The sequence below is a fragment of the Homo sapiens genome, chromosome 5 (genome assembly GCF_000001405.40).
Source record: "Homo sapiens chromosome 5, GRCh38.p14 Primary Assembly".
Classification (NCBI taxonomy): Eukaryota; Metazoa; Chordata; class Mammalia; order Primates; family Hominidae; genus Homo; species Homo sapiens.
The window spans coordinates 159227686-159245999 of NC_000005.10; the positions used below are offsets into that span (position 1 = coordinate 159227686).

The 18314-nt window shown below is 40.8% G+C and overlaps 1 long non-coding RNA gene and 1 other non-coding gene across 2 annotated transcripts; both read left to right on the top strand.

The window, feature by feature from the left end:
- Positions 1-29: 29 nt before the first annotated feature.
- LINC01932 (long intergenic non-protein coding RNA 1932) lies at positions 30-17442 on the top strand. The gene is made up of 3 exons (NR_134261.1): positions 30-57; positions 1556-1632; positions 16975-17442. It is a non-coding gene; the product is annotated as a long intergenic non-protein coding RNA 1932 (long non-coding RNA).
- Positions 2509-2637, top strand: LOC124900203 (small nucleolar RNA SNORA68). Its single transcript, XR_007059152.1, has one exon. It is a non-coding gene; the product is annotated as a small nucleolar RNA SNORA68 (small nucleolar RNA).
- Positions 17443-18314: the final 872 nt, after the last annotated feature.

Sequence of the window (18314 nt, forward strand, 5' to 3'; positions counted from 1 at the left end):
CTTGATGTCACTGAGTTCACCTGGAACCCAGATGAAATATCAGGAGGAAAGGGAAGGGTGAGTACTGACTCTATATCATTTTCAATTCCTGTTGAATAAGGGTTCAAATTGTAAATTAAAGCCTACTCTTCCTTTCCCTCCCTCCCTCCCTTCTTTCCTCTCTCCCTCCCTTGCTTCTTCTCTCCCTTCCTTCTTTCTTTCTTTCTTTCTTTCTTTCTTTCTTTCTTTCTTTCTTTCTTTCTTTCTTTCTTTCTTTCTTTTTCTTTCTTTTTCTTTCTTTCTTTCTCTTTTTTTTTCTTTTTTGAGATAGAGTCTTGCCCTGTCACCCAGGCTGGAGTGCGATGGCATGATCTCAGCTCACAGCAACCTCCACCTCCCAGGTTCAAGCAATTCCCTGCCTCAGCCTCCCGAGTAGCTGGGACTACAGGTGCACGCCACCACATCTGGCTAATTTTTTGTATTTTAGTAGAGATGGGGTTTCACCATGTTGGCCAGGATGATCTCCATCTCCTGACCTCGTGATCCACCCGCCTAGGCCTCCCAAAGTGCTGGGATTACAGGCATGAGTCACCACACCCAGCCTCTCTTTCTTTCTTTTGTTCACAAAGTCAACAGTGGCTGAGTGCCCATGTGTTTCACGGTGCTTGTCTAGTATATTTTTAAAAGGTGGCACCAGGGCGCTTCTGCTAAAATGGGTCTGTTGTTCATGGAGGAGCTGGGAGTAATGGCTCTGGAAGTGTGGGGAGACCAACAGCTGACAGGGATCAGCCCTTTCAGTCCAAGTGGGACACTGCTGCCTACATTATCTTCCTCACCTTCGTCAGCACCCTGTTGTTCTTGCTGTTGCTCATTATCATCCACTGTTGCTGCAGCTGCTGCTGCAACTCCCAGAAAGTGAGCCCCCAGAACAAAAAATTCCAGTAGGGTAGGTAACTTGGCCCTTGTACCTTAACACCATGAGTCCCTGCCAGCCCCTTCCTGTATGTCTTGCCTTGTAGCAAGTAACAATCCCATGCCTTGTGTTTACCTAGAAAAATTAATTAAATTAATGGTGAGTCACATATTTAGAAAATAAGAGTTTTTGCAGACCTGCGTTTGTAGATTGAGATCCATTCCTGTCATTAAGACTGATCTTGCCATTGTAAATAGAGATATACAAAACTACAAAGAGATTTGTGGAATCCCAACTGGATTCTATTTAAATATCAATAAGAGCTGAGCCTGGCCTGCTCAGAAGAATAAGAAGATAATTTAGAATAAAATAAAGCCATTGAAAGAGTAAATCAATCCAATCTCAAAGTGAAAGAACCTAGGAGAGGGGTTACAGACCCAGATTTCACTAGAATTAGGGACGTGAACATGGGACCCTTTCTGGCTATGAAATTCCTGTAACTAGGCCTCGTAACTGGGCCTCAGTATGTTGGGAGAACACAAAACCCTGAGTCCCAGCCAAATCCAGAGTCAATTTGTATCCTCAGTGACCTCCTCCTGAAAAATAAGACCAAATGTTTGGTGTGGTATAACTGTCTGCTTCATCTGCCCATTTTAATTCTAGGAGGATCTGTAATTGAAAATAAAAGAGTGAATTATGAAAACTGATTAAGCCAAACCCATCGTATTCATATATTCATGGTAAGTTGAGAAACACCTTGTGCACTTGCTATTTAGAATACGTGTAATTATTTGGAGAATTTATTAATAGCAGATGAGCGAATCAAACAGAATTGCTTTATAATTTAATGTATAATATTTAATTGAATAATTGATTAACTTCTGACTTTAAGTTCAATGTATAAGAAAACTTTACTAAATTTAAAGATACTATTGGAACATTCAGAAGAACCTAATATTCACCATATTTATGTTTCATATGTTAGAGTTACTTAAATTATTTTTGTTACACAGTTGAATGACTTAAAATGAAAACAAGTACATTAAATGTATGAATGTAATTTTTTGATGTTTAAGAATTAAAATTGTCCAGCGTGGTGGCTCACACCTGTAATCCCAGTACTTTGGAAGGCCAGGGCGGGCGGATCACCAAGTCAAGAGTTCGAGACCAGCCTGGCCAATATGGTGAAACCCCATCTCTACTACAAATACAAAAATTAGCTGGGTGGTGGTGCGTGCCTGTAGTCGCAGCTACTTGGGTGGCTGAGGCAGAAGAATCGTTTGAACCCAGGAGGCGGAGGTTGCAGTTGCAGTGAGCCGAGATCGTGCCACTGCGCTCCAGCCTGGGCAAAAGAGCGAGACTCCGTCTCAAAAAAAAAAAAAAAAAAAAAGAATTAAAATTAAGTTTGTAAATGGGCTCACACATTAATCAAAGGCCCCCTTAAAAGTGACTGTTAAAGTCTTATTTATTCATTAATAGAACAATGTGATTTTTATTTTGAATTTTAAAGCTTAAGGACAAATAGTCTTTTGATCTTATAACCTTAAATGGAATATTAATTTCTAAAAACCAAACTCATCATAAATAATCTTTTCTGGTCATAAAAACTGCCATCACTCATACCTAAACCCAAGAATCACTTTCTTATAGTGATGATTTAAACAGATGCAAACAGCGAGCACATCTTGTCACCTTTGCGGGACTGTGGCTGTGCCCCTCGCAGTAAATTTGGAGGTTCTACATCCCTGGTGAAAAACAAAACAAAACAAAAAAAAAGCCTGCCATCATTGACACCAAAACACTCATAATGACAGTACCCACTGTAATGCTTAGAAGTGAAAAAATAACATGCCATGAAAGAGACTAATTGAAGGGGCTTAATTTAGATCAGGGGTTCAAAGATCTCTCTGGAAAGTGCCTTGTGAGCAGAGACTTCAGAAAGAAAGTTTAACCAAAGGAAAATCAAAAAGAAGAGTGGTCCAGGTGGGATCCTAGAGAGAGCTTAGTATGACAGAGGAATTGAAGGAAGTTGGGAAGTTCAGAGAAGCTGGAACCAAGTAAGTCAGAGGGAGAGTGGCATGGATGGGACAGGAGAGGAAGCTGCAGTCAGATCATGCAGGCCTTTGGAGACCGGGTTAAACCATATGTTATATAAACACAAATATACAAATCCCTAAATGTAATGGAAAACCTCTGAGGATTTTAAGCAGAGGTCGGGGTGCTGAGTATGGTTGAATAGCCTGCGTACTGCACAACTCCATGTTGCACCAGTGGCATAGTTCCTGGTGTGATGCAATATTGCCTCTGGGCAGGTAACACAATCAAATTAGTGTTAAACAATTACTCTGGTTGCTGTAGGGAGAAGAACTGTAGAGGTAAGAGTGGAACCAAGGAGATCATTTAACTAGCTAATGCAGACTCCAATCAAGTAGCCTAACACAGTATTTGTGGTGATAGGGAAAAGTGGACAGACTGTTTTTTTTTTTCTATTTCCATGGCAGACAGTAGAAGTCTGGGTAGATTTCTGAATCTGAAAATAACCTATCTTAAATGGTGCTTGAGAAAAATTAATCGTCCATCCAGAAATGTGCTAGAGCTGATATACAGCAGCTTGTATTGGTTCAGTAGAGACAATGGGGTCCACCTTTCCCCAACTCCTCATTCAGTGACATCAAGTTGATAGCTTGAAATCTGCCTTGGTGGGAGTATTTATACCATGGAGATTAGCAAACACTACCAATAGAGCTTCTTTCCCCAGAGAGCTGATTGTGAAACATTTACCAGCACACCAGTGCTTCCAGTGCTTTTCGCTATCTCAACACTGGAATACTATTTAAAGAATCACTGCATATAATATGATATGATGTCAAAGAACATTCATATGGTTCTTACGAAACCTTAAGAAAGGAATGGTTATGAGAGACACTGGGAAGAAAATATCTGTAAGACTGGGTGGTGCTTTGCAAATGGTGGTAATGGGAAGAGGGGGAGCAGATTGTATCTTCTTCCATGGAATAGGAATCATTTCAAAGCATATATCTTTGATGAAGATTACAGAGAGAACATTTCACAGTTTGGTTCCCTGTCCTCTGTATTTTAAATGTCCCTGCTTCTGCTGTCAAGGATTTCAAGTGCCTTTTAAAAATTCCATATTGTGGTAGCTCTGAGTTCTGAATTCTATCACTATTTACTGGTGCAGTTAAATGAATAAAATAATAATTGAATACCAGACTCTCAGTCACTGTCTTGCAGAAACAGAAGCTCTGCAGAGAGCTGGAGAAGAGCATGCTTCAAAACTGAAAAATGTCTTCCACTTTGTAAATTTGTAGCATCAAGGCAGTGGTGTTGAAGACCAACCTGAGCCTTCCATATATATGTGAAGGTTCACATAAGGGTTTCTAAAGGGTACCAGGAAAGGAAGTGGAGGGAGACCCTAAGGGCATGCTCCAAATATTATTTTTCCCATGAAAATAAGTGTTCTGCAGAATTTAAAGCTTATATCACAACATGATGTAAACACCTTTCTCATCAATATTGTGACAAGTATTTTCCTAGATCCCGGAGATATGAAAATGAATAATGTAGTGTTTCCTCGGATCTCAGTGAATAAAAAAGTGAATAAGACTACTTCATTTGGCACACAGTAATTGAGAGAGACAAAATCATGAACAGATTAATTAGAGTACGATGTGGCCAATGCAGAAATTTAGTATTTAGAAGATACCATGGAAGCCCAACGAAGGGCATGTGACTCAGCCTTGGGTGAGCAGGGGCAGCTTCCTGGGGGAAGCGATATTTAAGTTGAATCTTAAAGAGTAGGGGTAAACCAGATACAGTGTGTGTATGGAGTAGAGGGAATTCCAGGCAGAGGGAAGAGCATGAGAAAAGACACAGAAATGAGAAACAACAGGTGATTTGGCCTTAGAGGCTTGGCTGAAGGGAAGATGGGGATAAGGAGAGGAGGGTGGAGGCCTCCAGGTTTTCAGTGGAGTACCAAGGAGTAGGGCAATTTGAGTGGACCATGCTGGGTGTAGGCAAAAAGGGGGTAGACTGTCTGTTGAGTATTAGAAAACAATAATAAAACTGACTATATTGCCAGTGATTCTAAACAATGATAACACGCTCCTCTCTATCAAGGTGGCTACCCCCTGGGTACACCACTGCATGTTTTTCCTGAAGGTCTGGGGCAAGGAAGTGATGCAGTCAGACTCCTGAGCTGTGCAGATCTGGAGATGCCAGCCTCAATAATATCTAAGTGAGAGAACATTTTCTCGCATCCCCCTCCCCATCCTAGACAGATAGAGAGTGCCTCTACTAAACATCCTCAAAGCACTGAGCATTTTTCCATAATAGCCGAGCAGTTTGTAATTATATCCACCACTGAAGAGAAAGAATGCAAGAGAAAAATACAGGTTTTCGGAAGATATATAGAGTTTGGGACAAGTTTAGTTTTATTGGCTTGTGGGAGATCAAGGACAGATACACAGCAACAGGACATGGATTTTGGACTAAAGCTGTAGGTTCAGAGTCATTAGCATAGAAGTGGTGGTTAAATCCTTGGGAGTGGATGAGGTAACCTGGGAAAAACTGAGAAAGACAGTGGGCCAAAAGTGGAATGCTAGAAGCTGAATATTCTATGGACAGATGATGGAACAAATATCCAAAAGAAAAGACAATGAAGAAATGCTCAGAGGCCTAAGAAGAATCTGGACAACACAAAATTGTGGCAAGATTTTCCAGGACCAAAGGAAGAGAAAGAACTGGAGATAATGCAGAAAACTAAAATATCAGTAAGTGTCTGTGAGAAAGAAGTCAAACCCATGGCATATGTGTTGGAAGGAAGTTGGTGAGAAAATGGGGAAGCAATGGCGGAAACCTTGGAAAAATCTGGGAATGACAGAATCCCATCTAGGATTCTCCAGAGGGACAAAACTAATAGGAAATATGTCTATGTGAAAGGGAGTTTATTAAGAAGAATTGACTCACACAATCACAGGTAAAGTCCCACGATAGGCAGTCTGCCAGTTGAGGAGCAAGGAAATCAGTAGTGGATCAGTCCGAGTCCCCAAACCTCAAAAGTAGGGAAGCCAACAGTGCAGCTTCAGTCTGTGACCAAAGGCTCGAGAGCCCCTTGGCAAACCACTATTGTAAGTCCAAGAGCCGAAGAACTTGGAGTCTGATGTTCGAGGGCAGGAAGCATCCAGCACCGGAGAAAGATGAAAGCTGGAAGGCTCAGCAAGTCGGCTTCTCCCACCACCTTCTGCCTGCTTTATTCTAGCCAAGTTCGCAGATGATTGGGTGGTGCTCACCCACATTGAGGGTAGGTCTGCCCACTGGGAAGATTTCCCTTTGCCACTGTCCTTCAGGGATGTCCTAGAAAGAGACTATAGTGCTGCACCTGTCCACTTTTGGGTGGTACCTGCATATCGTGCAGAACCACCCGTAAACCAGGCCCTAGTCCTCTCTTCCTGTGTAGACTGATCGTAAGGAATTCCCCATGAGGCCATCGGTGCAGGCTTGGGGAGAGAAGACAGGGTGGCAGGAGTGGAGATCATGGGCATTTGAGCCATTTCCTTATGTAACTTACTTGTGCCTTCTAAGCAGCTCAGGTCGCATGGTGACTTGATGACCCATAATCAAGCCTTCAGTTTCTACCAAAGCCCAGTAACAAGCCAAGAGCTGTGTCTCAAAAGGAGAGTAGGTATCTGCAGAAGATGGCAGGGCCTTGCTCCAAAATCCTAGAGGTCTCTGCTGTGATTCACCTATGGGGGCTGGCCGAAGGCTTCGAACAGCATCCCATCTGCTACTGACACCTCAAGCACTGCTGGATCTGCTGGGTCATATGGCCCAAGTGACAGAGCAGCTTGCACAGCAGCCTGGACCTGTTGCAGAGCATTTTCCTGTTCTGGACCCCACTCAAAACTGACAACCTTTTGAATCATTTGATAAATGGGCTGGAGTAACATACCCAAATAAGGAATGTGTTGCCCCCAAAATCCAAATAGGCCAACTAGGTATTGTGCCTCTTTCTTGGTTGTAGGAGGGACCAAATGAGGTAATTTATTGTTCACCTTAGAAGAAATATCTCAATAGGCCCCACACCACTGGACTCCTAGAAATTTCACTGATGTAGAAGGTCTCTGAATTTTAGCCGAATTTATTTCCCATCCCCTGGCATGCAAATGTCTCACCAATAAGTCCACTGTGTTTGCTACTTCTCACTCACTGGGTCCAATCCGCATAATGTCATCAGTAGAATAGACCAGTGTGATATCTTGTGGAAGAGAAAAGTGATCAAGATCTCTGTGAACAAAATTATGACACAAAGCTGGAGACTTGATATACCCCTGAGGCAGGACAGTGAAGGTATATTGCTGACTTTGCAAGCTGAAGGCAAATTGCTTTTGGTGGGCCTTATGGACAGGAATGGAGAAAAAGGCATTTGTCGAATCAATGGCTGTATACCAGGTACAAGGATATATGTTAATTTGCTCAAGCAATGAAACCACATCTGGTACAGCAGCTGCAGTTGGGGTCACCACTTGGTTAAGCTTACAGTAATCCACTGTCATTCTCCAAGATCCATCTGTCTTTTGCACAGGCCAAATAGGAAAGTTGAATGGGGATATGGTGGGAATCACCACCCCTGCATCTTTCAAGTCCTTGATGGTGGCACTAATCTCTGCAATCCCTCCAGGGTTGTGATATTGTTTTTGACTTACTATTTTTCTAGGTAGAGGCAGCTCTAATGCCTTCCATTTGGCCTTTTCCACCATGATAGGCCTCACCCTACCAGTCAGGGAGCCAATGTAGGGATTCTGCCAGCTGCTAAGTATGTCTATGCCAATTATGCATTCTGGCACTGGGGAAATGACCACACAATGAGTCTGGGGACCCACTGGACCCACTGTAAGTCGGACCAGAGCTAAAACTTCATTAATTACCTTATCTCCACAAGCCCCATAAGATCCGTATTTTAGCTAACCAAGCTTTAACTGGAGGACCACAATGATGTTTTGGGTCCTCTGAAATCAATATCAGCTCAGAGCCAGTGGCCAGAATCCCCGAAAGTTCTGATCATTCCCCTTTCCCCAGTGCACAGCTACCCTGGTAAAAGGCCAGAGGTCTCCTTAGGGAAGGATGGGAAAAAGATTAACTGCATAAATTGTTGGTAGTATAGTGAGGTTCTTCCTCAAGGAGAACCGGCGTCCCTTTCATTCAAGGATTTCTGGGTCTGTAAACTGGTTCATGTCTGGAAATGATTGACAGGCCGTAATTCTCTATTTTTATAATTCAAATTAGTCTTTTGTCCATTCAGCCTGAAAGTTTTCTGCTTATATAAATTAAGTAAGCATGCAGTAGGCTTCCTATCAATTTCACTTCTAGGAACACTGTGATTAATTAGCCAAAGCCAGAGCTCTACATAAATCATGCTATTCTGATTGCTACTTTGCCTTTGCTGTCCATTATAGTAACTACATCCACCTTGCCTTTCATGGTTGAGTGCCTCAACTTGGCCCCTGCCACCTTGGGATCCAATTATTTCCATTGCATTTAACATTTCTAATTGAGTGACTGCAGTTCCCACTGTAAGATCTGGCATACAAAGATAAGCAATCACAAAACTCTTCAAGGATGTAAATGCTCCCTTCACAAATCTATTTCGCAAAGTATTGGTGAAGGGTATATCTTCTGGACCCTCCCAGCTGGGATGAGTAGGTCTAAAATGACTAATCCACTCCAACATTCCAATCTCCCTAAGCTTTTGGATCCCTTCCTCTACATTAAACCAAGGGAGATCAGGCATTTCCAGCCTACTCATAGTAGGCCATATTTTATTTTATTTTATTTTATTTTTTTGAGACAGAGTCTCACTGTGTCACCCAGGCTGGAATGCAGTGGCACGATCTCAGCTCACTGCACCCTCCACCTCCTGGGTCTAAGCAATTCTCCTGCCTCAGCCTCCTGAGTAGCTGGGATTACAGGAGTGTGCCGCCAAGCCGGGCTAATTTTTGTATTTTTAGTAGAGACTGGGTTTTGCCATGTTGGCCAGGCTGGTCTCAAACTCCTGACCTCAAGTGATCTGCCCGCCTTGGTCTCCCAAAGTGCTGGGATTACAGGCATGAGCCACCACGCCCAGCCAAGTAGGCCATCTTTTGATCCATGTTTCAGCTAACCAAGCAAATAAATTATTAGAACCTTTTTTTAACTCCCTGATCTGCAACATTAAATGCAGAATCCCTGCTTAGTGGGTCCATATCAGTAAATTCAGCCTGATCCAACTTTATGTTCTTTCCACCATTATCCCATGCCCTTAAAGTCCATCCCGATACCTGTTCTCCAGATTTCTGCTTTATAAGTTAGAAAACTCTGTTCTTTTGGAGTGTAGCGCACCTCCTCATTGGTCACACTCTGAACCTTACATCTAGAGCCTGCTGGAACTTGAGTCTAGTTATAGGTCTGGAAGCAAACAGGGGTGTTAGGGGTGGGTCCTGAGGAGAATCAGCATTCTCTTACCTGGCAACTTCCTCAGGGGAGGCCATCACTGTTGCCTCAGGCAGTGCAGGGTTAATCTCCTCAGACAAAGGTGGAAAGGCTGATGGCAGCATGGGTGGTGGGGGGAGATGTTGCTACTGCTGCAGATGGGAAGGCTGTTTCCTCTGGCAAAAAAGGCTCATCAGAATTTAGAAGCTCAGTGTCCCAAGCCTCATCAGGGACCTCCTATACATCCCCATTCCTAATTGCAGGGTCCCATTCTTTTCCAATCAATGCCCTCACTTTAACAGTAGACACCTGGCAAGGGTGTGCATTCACCTTTTATTGCAAGTCAGCCACTCACATGATAAGAGCTTGTGTCTGTTTTTCCACAATTTCAGCTCTTTCTATACAGGAGATAAAACTCTCTGTTAGGGCAGTCTTAGAAGATTTGGGGCTCAGTATCTGCTTCTGGAGCCAGGAGTTAGAATCCCTGAGTTCATCGTTTTCTTTCATCACTTTGTCCAGCAAACTTAGGAGCAACCAAACAACTTTATGACATTCCTTGATTCTCCACATATGGTCAAAGGTATTATGTATAGAGTCACTAAACTCCTTGCCTCTGCAGAGCAGTGAATCAGGAGTATCAAATGCATTTATTTTGCATAACTTTCTAAACAGTTCACACCAAGGACTATCAGTGTTTTCCATAGTATTCAAAGCAGAGGTCTTAGCATTTTTGGGTCTAATCAGATTGAGCAGCCAATTCCAGAAACCCTGAAACCAACTAAAGAACTCTATCCTTAAAATTCTTGAACCACTCCAGGAACAAAATCTGTATTAGTCAGGGTTCTCTAGAGGGACAGAACTAATAGGATATATGTAAATATGAAAGGCAGTTTATTAAGAAGAATTGACTCACGCGATCACAAGGTAAAGTCCCACGATAGGCCGTCTGCAAGTTGAGGAGCAAGGAAGCCAGTAGTGGATCAGCCCGAGACCCAAAACCTCAAAAGTAGGGAAGCCAACAGTGCAGCCTTCAGTCTGTGGCCAAAGGCCAGAGATCCCCTCGGCAAACTGCTAGTGTAAATCCAAGAGTCCTAAAGCCAAAGAACTTGGAGTCTGATGTTCAAGGTCAGGAAGCATCCAGCACTGGAGAAAAATGAAGGCAAGTCAGGTTCTCCCACCTTCTTCCGCCTGCTTTATTCTAGCCAAGTTGGCAGTTGATTAGATGGTGCTCACCCACATTGAGGGTGGGTCTGCCTTTCCCAGTCCATTGAGTCAAATGTTAATCGCCTTTGGCAATACACTCACAGACACCCAGAAAGAATACTTTGCATCCTTCAATCCAATCAATTTGACAATATTAACCATCTGATGGTGTAAGTGGATCTATGGGCCCCTGCCTAAGTCACATATTGAGCCCTGCAGGTGACAAGACCCCAGAGTTTTCCCACAGCACAGTGTGGTGAGGAATACGGTAGTCATGGCCCAGTGTGGCTGAGGGGCCTAGTGAGTGTTTCCCTTCCCTCAAAAACAGAATTGGCCCAGCAAAGAGACTCACCAGACTAGAAAAGACAGGGACTTGTGTTGACAGATGGGATCATGCAGATCTTAAGGTCAGCTAGGATGATGGCCATCTTAAAAGATACCGTTGTCCTAAGACCTCTGGCCCGGATGCATTCTACATGAACCTCATTAACTAAGCCTCTGCCCACACCTACCTCCTCTTGAATGTTATCTCAAGCAGAAAACTTAGTTGCCTGAGGCCAAGTGTCTGCCACTGGGAGGACAATAACAACAAATAAAAATGAAGATAGAGAAAAATAAAGTAATATTTCTTGTGTACTTCAGTTTGCAAACTGGAACCCATATGCTAATTGTAGAAAAATGACTTTATAAATCCTGGACTCATTGAATCCTTTCTCTGTATGCTGTTGATGCTGCATTCAAAGAAGTACAATCCCAACAGCTAAAAATGATAAAACATGAAATTCTGAGCTTTCATGTGCATTACTTGGAAATTGTTTAAAAGGATCCCATTTGTAACCCCGAGAATACTCTTCCTATGCTCTCTTCTCTCTTCCACAATTCTCTCACACCCTGTATTGCTTTAGAGCCTCTCATTCACAACTCTACCTCCCCAAACCTTTTTCTCCTACAGTTCACACTATATTTTGCTTCCTAAATTCATGAATCTGGCTGGGCACGCTGTCCTGTATTCCTAATACTTTGGGAAGTTGAGGCAAGAGGATCCCTTGAGGCCGGGAGTTCTAGACTAGCCTGGCCAACATAGCAAGACCCCACCACTACAAAAAAAATTAGCCAGGCATGATGAGGCACCACTACAGTCCTAGCCACTTGGAAGGCTGAGGTGAGAGGATCATTTGAGCACAGGAGTTCAAAGCTGCAGTGAGCTAAGAAGGTGCCACTGCATGGGTGATAGAGCAAGACCCCATCTCTTATAAACAAACAAACAAACAATTTTTTTTATCCCCTAGTTCTTTAATAGATCATTTATGTTTTCTTTTCTCCTGTCCTTTCCCCTTTTTTCCTATTCTTTCTTCCTCCTTCCCGAGGTATGGAAGGATTGTGAATCTACTCAGTCAATCTTAAAAGGGGCAATGGGGAGAGGGAAAACAAGGAACCCTCACAGGCTAATTTTTAAACCACATCTCTTAAGAAAATATGGAGAAGCAAAGAGAGGAAAATGTAAATTACCTGAAATTCTACCACTGTAAATATGTTGATATACTTTCAGACTTTTTCCTATGCATTTATAACACACACACACACACACACATATATAAGTTGCAAAAAATGGCCAACAGTATATATATACATACTCTTTTGTAGTCCCCTTTAAGCAACTTATTGTGAATGTCTTTCCCTCTCAAGCTTTATACTGACAACATCATTTTGAAAAGCTACATGACTTTCCATTGTGTGAATGTACTATCATTTATGAACTTTTCTTTCACTGTAAGACATTTAGGTTGTTTTCTCTGTTGTAAATGATAAACACTGCTGTTGTCAATATCCTTATGATAACTCCTTTGCTTACTTGTGCAATTATTTTTATAGGATCAGTTACTGGGTGTGAAAATTGGGATGGCAAGCGTGCATATAGCATTCACTTTCTAGGGCTGCTGGAACACAGTACCACAAACTGGGGAGCTTAAACAACAGGAATGTATGGCCTCACAGCTCTGGAGGCTAAAAGTTCAAGATCAAGGTGTCAGCAGGATTGGTTCCTTCTGAAGGCCTGTCCGCAAGCTCTGGTGGTTTGCTGGCTCTCTAGATGCTCCTTGGTTTCTGCTGCATCACCTAATCTCTGCCTCCATCTTCACATGGTCTTCTCCCTATGTGTGCAAATTTCCCCTTTTTGTAAAAACACCAGGCATACTGAGTCTGAGACACTGTGGAACATGCAAGCGGAAATATCTACTCAGTAGCTATATATGTAGGTCTGGAGTTTAGGAAAGACAAATGTGTGAGTCATTGCCACTTCAGTGGCAGTTGACAGTCATGGGGATGGGTGAAATCACCCACTAAGATCGCCCTGTAACATGATATAAAAAGAGAGCCAAGGAAAGAATTCTAGGAACTCCAATAAACTTACAGGATGATTGGAGGGTAAGAAGGTCACTAATGTTGCATAATTAGACCTGGGCTTCAGGAAGTCAGCACTGGGAGCGATATTATGGAATAGTTGGAATTAGAAAGAAAGAGGAGACATGTCCCATCTCCTAGCTCTGAAGCACCCTGTGTGTCCATTCCTGACTTCAGGCACCTCCCTCCCTGCCATTGGCAGTCACTGCTCTTAAGTTTTTATTAACCAATCTCTTGCTTTTCTTTATAGTTTAAGCACATATATATCTCTAACTACTATGTTGTTCAATTTTTTCTACTTTTAAATGTTACATACATGGAATCTTGCTTTATGAGTTCTTCTACAATCTGGTTATTTACTCAAAATTAGGTGTTTTGGAAGGATTTGTTTTGTCACGTGTGGCTATAGATTTTTCATTTTTAGTGCTGTATGGTATTGCATTGTAGGCACATACACCAATTTATTATTATTATTATTATTATTATTGAAAGTAATGGCAAATACTATAATTACTTTTGCACAAACCCAGTATTTGTCCACTGTATTATTCATGGACATTTGGGGACATTTCCAGTGTTTTGCTATTATGAGTAATGTTTCCATGAACTTGTTCATACATTTCTCCTTCATCTGCCCAAGAGTGTCTTTCTAGAAAATATACCACAGAGTAGAATGTTTGAATCGCTTACCCCCAGGCTTGCTTTACACCAGAAAAGACTCATATGAAAATGAATTCCTGCCTCACACCATATTCAAAATTCAATTTCATGTGGATCAAACACTGAAGTTCCAAATGTAAACCTTAAGACTTTCAAGAGAAAATATGAAAATTATTATTTTTTACATTTTGAGATGGAGTTTCACTCTTGTTGCCCAGGCTGCAGTGCAACAGCGCAATCTTGGCTCACTGCAACCTCCGCCTCCTGGTTTCAAGCGATTCTCCTGCCTCAGCCTCCCAAGTAGCTGGGATTACAGGCGTCTGCCACAACGTGAGCTAATTTTTTTGTATTTTTAGTAGAGACAAGGTTTCACCATGTTGGCCAGACTGGTCTTGAACTCCTCACCTCAGGTGATCTGCCCGCCTCAGCCTCCCAAAGTGTTGGGATTACAGGTGTGCGCCACCATGCCAGGCTGGAATATCTTTATGACCTTAGGTTAAGAAAGGTTTTCTTATACAAAGTACAAGAAGAACCACCTGTAAAGCAAAAGGTAATAAATCGTAAGAATTAACAACTTCTTTTCAATAAAAGACATGGTAAAAAGAATGAAAAGAGAAGCCATAACTGGGAGAAGATAGTCATATAATATATATAATGCACAAAAATTAGTATCTAGAGTCTATGAATAATTCCTACAAATCAATAAGGAAAAAGACAAATAACTCAGTAGAAAATGAGCAAAAGGCTCTTCACAGAAGAGGAAATCCAAATGCCGAGAAACACAGGAAACAAGATTCAGTCTCATTAGTAATCAGATAAATGCAAATTAAAACCACAATGAGAAACTGTTTAAATCCACCAGACTGGCATAAACGTAAAAATAAGACAATACCAAGTTTTGACAAGAATATAGAGCATTGTAAACTCACACACTCCTGGTGGGGTTGTGATTTGCTACAACAACTTTGAAAAGCAATTTGTCATCACCTAGTAAAGTCAAGTAAGCATGTGTCATATACCAAGCAATTCTACCCCTAATGTTAAACTAAAAAAAAATTCTTTGTACATGTGAAGCAAGAGACACAATAAGAAACTCCATTGCACAATAGCCCATAATTGTTCCTAACAGCAAAAAACATTGACACAATTGAAATTTCTATTGACATTAAAATGGATTACAAAACTGTCATCTATCCATATCATGGAATTTTATACAGCAGTGAAAATGAATACACTGCAACTACACATAATAAATGGATGAATTTCACAACACAGAGTGAAAGCCAAGTAGTAAGTCACAGAAAGTCACATATGATGTGACTTAATAGATGTAGTTTAAAAAACAGACAAAATCAAATAATAGTTTGTTTAGAGCTACCTACATGTGTGGTAGGGTCTAAGGAAAACATAGGCTTAACACAAAATTTAGGATAATAGCTACTTCTGGGTGGAGGTGAGCATGCGACGATAAACTATGATAAATATTTGAAGGAAAGGCTGGAGCTTATTTGAAGTTCATAATTAAGGGCCTGACTCAAGACTGTGGATTACAAAAGCCTTCCTGAGGAAGTGCACGTCAGCTGATACCTGAAGCGTGAGAAACAGTTTAGAGCAGTGCTTCTCAAACCTTAACAGAGACCCCCACCAATTGCTATGGGATAGAAAGGTATTTTCAGTCATAGTCAGATTTTTGATTATTAAAATAGAACTTTATCCAAATAAACATAAAGTACTGACTATTGGATTTTCTGCCTTCCTGGAGGAAAAACATCATTTTTTTTTCAAGCTTAGCCTCATTCGAATAGAATTTGAAAGATTTCACTCTGCTTTAATGGAAGCCAGACTTGAGAACAAATGATAATATATACAAAAACTGGTGGCCATAAGCAAAAAATCTGGAAATATCCGATTGTTTACTCTGGGTTAAAAGAGATTATGAGAGAGACCTGGTCTTCAGAAAATGCATTGAACATCCAAGTTCAAGTAGCTGCAACAAAAGCATCCTTTAAAATATATCAGATAAATTTTAAAAAAAACTTAAGGTGGCAATAAAAGATGGCCTGGATGAAAGCATATTTTTGTAAAAGCATAAATCTGCTTTCACAAGAAGCTAAGATAAAAAAGAGTGAGTAAAGTGAATAAACTGAAAAAAACTTGCAGAAGATGAAAGATTGAGCTGCTGTTCTTACATAGGAGAATGAGATCTGGGAATTGGAGATATTAACAATGCCTCAGACAATGGAGATTGTGTTGAGGATTAATAAAGTTTTTTATTGAGGTAAAATTCATTTAAAAACACTGTGAAGTATACAAACCAGTGGCTTTTAGTACATTCACAATGTTGTGCAGCCATCACTACTATCTAACTTCAGAAGATTTTTGTCACCCCAAAAAGAAACTCCATACACATTAAGCAGTCACTCCCAATTCCTGCCCCCACTTCCACCTGGTAACCACTAATCTATGTTTTGCCTCTATAGATTTGCCTATTCTAGACATTTTATATAAATTGAAACATTATGTGGCCTTTCGTGTGGGTTCTTTAACTTAGGATAGTGTTTTCAAGTTTCATCCATATTGTAGCAAGTATCAGCACTTCATTCCATTTTATGGCTGGATGACATTCCAATGTATGGGTCTGCCATATTTTGTTCATGCCATTTATCCACTCATGGATATGTAGCTTGTTTCCACTTTCTGCCCATTATAAACTATGCCTACTACGAACATTCATGTATAAGATTTTATTTGAACATATGGTTTGATTCTCTTGATATATTCCCAGGTGGGTAATTTCTGGGTCATATACTGTAGTAACTCTGTCTGAAACATTTTTAGGAAATGTTTTTTTTTTTTTTTTTTTTTTTTTTTTTTTTTACAGTGGCTATACTATTTTACATTCCCACAGCAGGTTTTGAGGGTTCAAGTTTGAGTTTTCCTTGCCAATACTTATTTCGCATTAAAAACAAAATTATTGTTATAGCCATCATAGAGGGTGTGAGGTGGCGTCTCACTGTGGTTGGATTTGCATTTCCCTAACAACTGATGATGTTGAGCATCTTTTTACGTGCTTATTGGCTATTTTTATATTTTCTTTGGATAAATGTGCATTCATCTCCTTTATTCATTTTTAATTGGGTTGTCTTTATGTTGTTGTAAGAGTTCTTTATATATTCTGGGTACTAAATAAACCTTTATTAGATTTCTGATTTGCAGATATGTTCTCCCATTCTGTGGGTTGTCTTTTCACTTTCTTAATAATGTCCTTTGATGCATAAAAGTTTTTACATTTGATGAAGTCCAAGTTTTTTCTTTTTCTTTTCTTGTGCCTCTAGTGTAATATTTAAGAAACCACTGCCTAATCCAAGGTCATGAAGATTAACATCTATGTTATTAAAATGAAGTTCTGAAGAAGCTGGATTTATGTGGCTATGGTAAATGTATCTTTAAAAACTCTTGAAGGAAAAAGCAATAAAATCTACACTAAATTATTGAAGAAGTCAAAATAACAAATGCACTTATGGATAATGTTAAAAGTCTCAAAAATGTACTAGCTTCATTGCAGTCTGAAAAATCCAGTTTGAAAGTGAGATTTCAGAGCTTCAGCAGAAACTTAGTCATTACTAAACTGCATCAATAAAATAAAATGATTATGCAAGATTCAATTTAAAGTGATTTACTATGGAAAGAGAAGAATCTTTCCAAAGCAGATGAAAAAATCAGTCATGCATCTGAAGTGCTAGACATCTTCAGAATCCTAGCCAAAATTCTCTCTCTCTCTGTCTCTCTCTCTCTCTCTTTTTTAGCAGGGCCTCTCTCTCTCTGTTGCTTAGGCTGGAGTGCAGTGGCATGATCACAGCTCACTGCAGCCTCAACCTCCTGGGCTCAAATGATCCTCCCACCTTAGCCTCCCAAGTAGCTGGGACCACAAGCATGCACCACTATATGTAGCTAATATTCTTTTAAATTATTTTTTGTGGAGACAGGGTCTCCCTGTGTTGCCCAGGCTGGTCTCAAATTTCTGGCCTCAAGAGATCCTCCTGTCTTGGCATCCCAAAGTGTTGGGATTATAGGTGTGAGCTACCACACCCAGCCCAAATTAAAATTCTTCTAGAAAAATTAGAAAAAGCCATTGGATCCTATCAATTATCATGAGGAAAAAAAAGCTCTTGATAGTTGGTTGAGAGCTCTATTGGCTGAGAAAAACTTTGATAACTCAAGAAAATAAAATCCACAACTCAGGGAAATAATGATTTAGGAAGAACTTAAGTTTCAGCTTTTTAAAAAGTATCTCTATGTCCCTGATATTCCAAAAGGAAAATTTGGCAGATGCATGGGAGATACTAGGATCCCCTGATACCAAGACAGCGGAGCATTAGGTTGGGATGGCTCAGGGTTCCAGGATCTGTGCCTAGTGTGGACCAGATTCCTCCATCAGGCCAACTCCATCAGGACACATAAATTCCTCCACAACAACAGGGAGAGTTTCTCCTGGTGCTCCTTTGCTGCCTTCTTTCAATGATATTCAATGCTCAAGATCTTCTTTTGATGATGTTGAGAGACATGCACCTTCAGAAGTGGAGACCAATAGGAAAGACAATGCACATGATCTTGGTCATTTAATTACACCAGACTCAACCCTTCCATCTGGACAAGAAGCAGCTGCCCAGGCTCT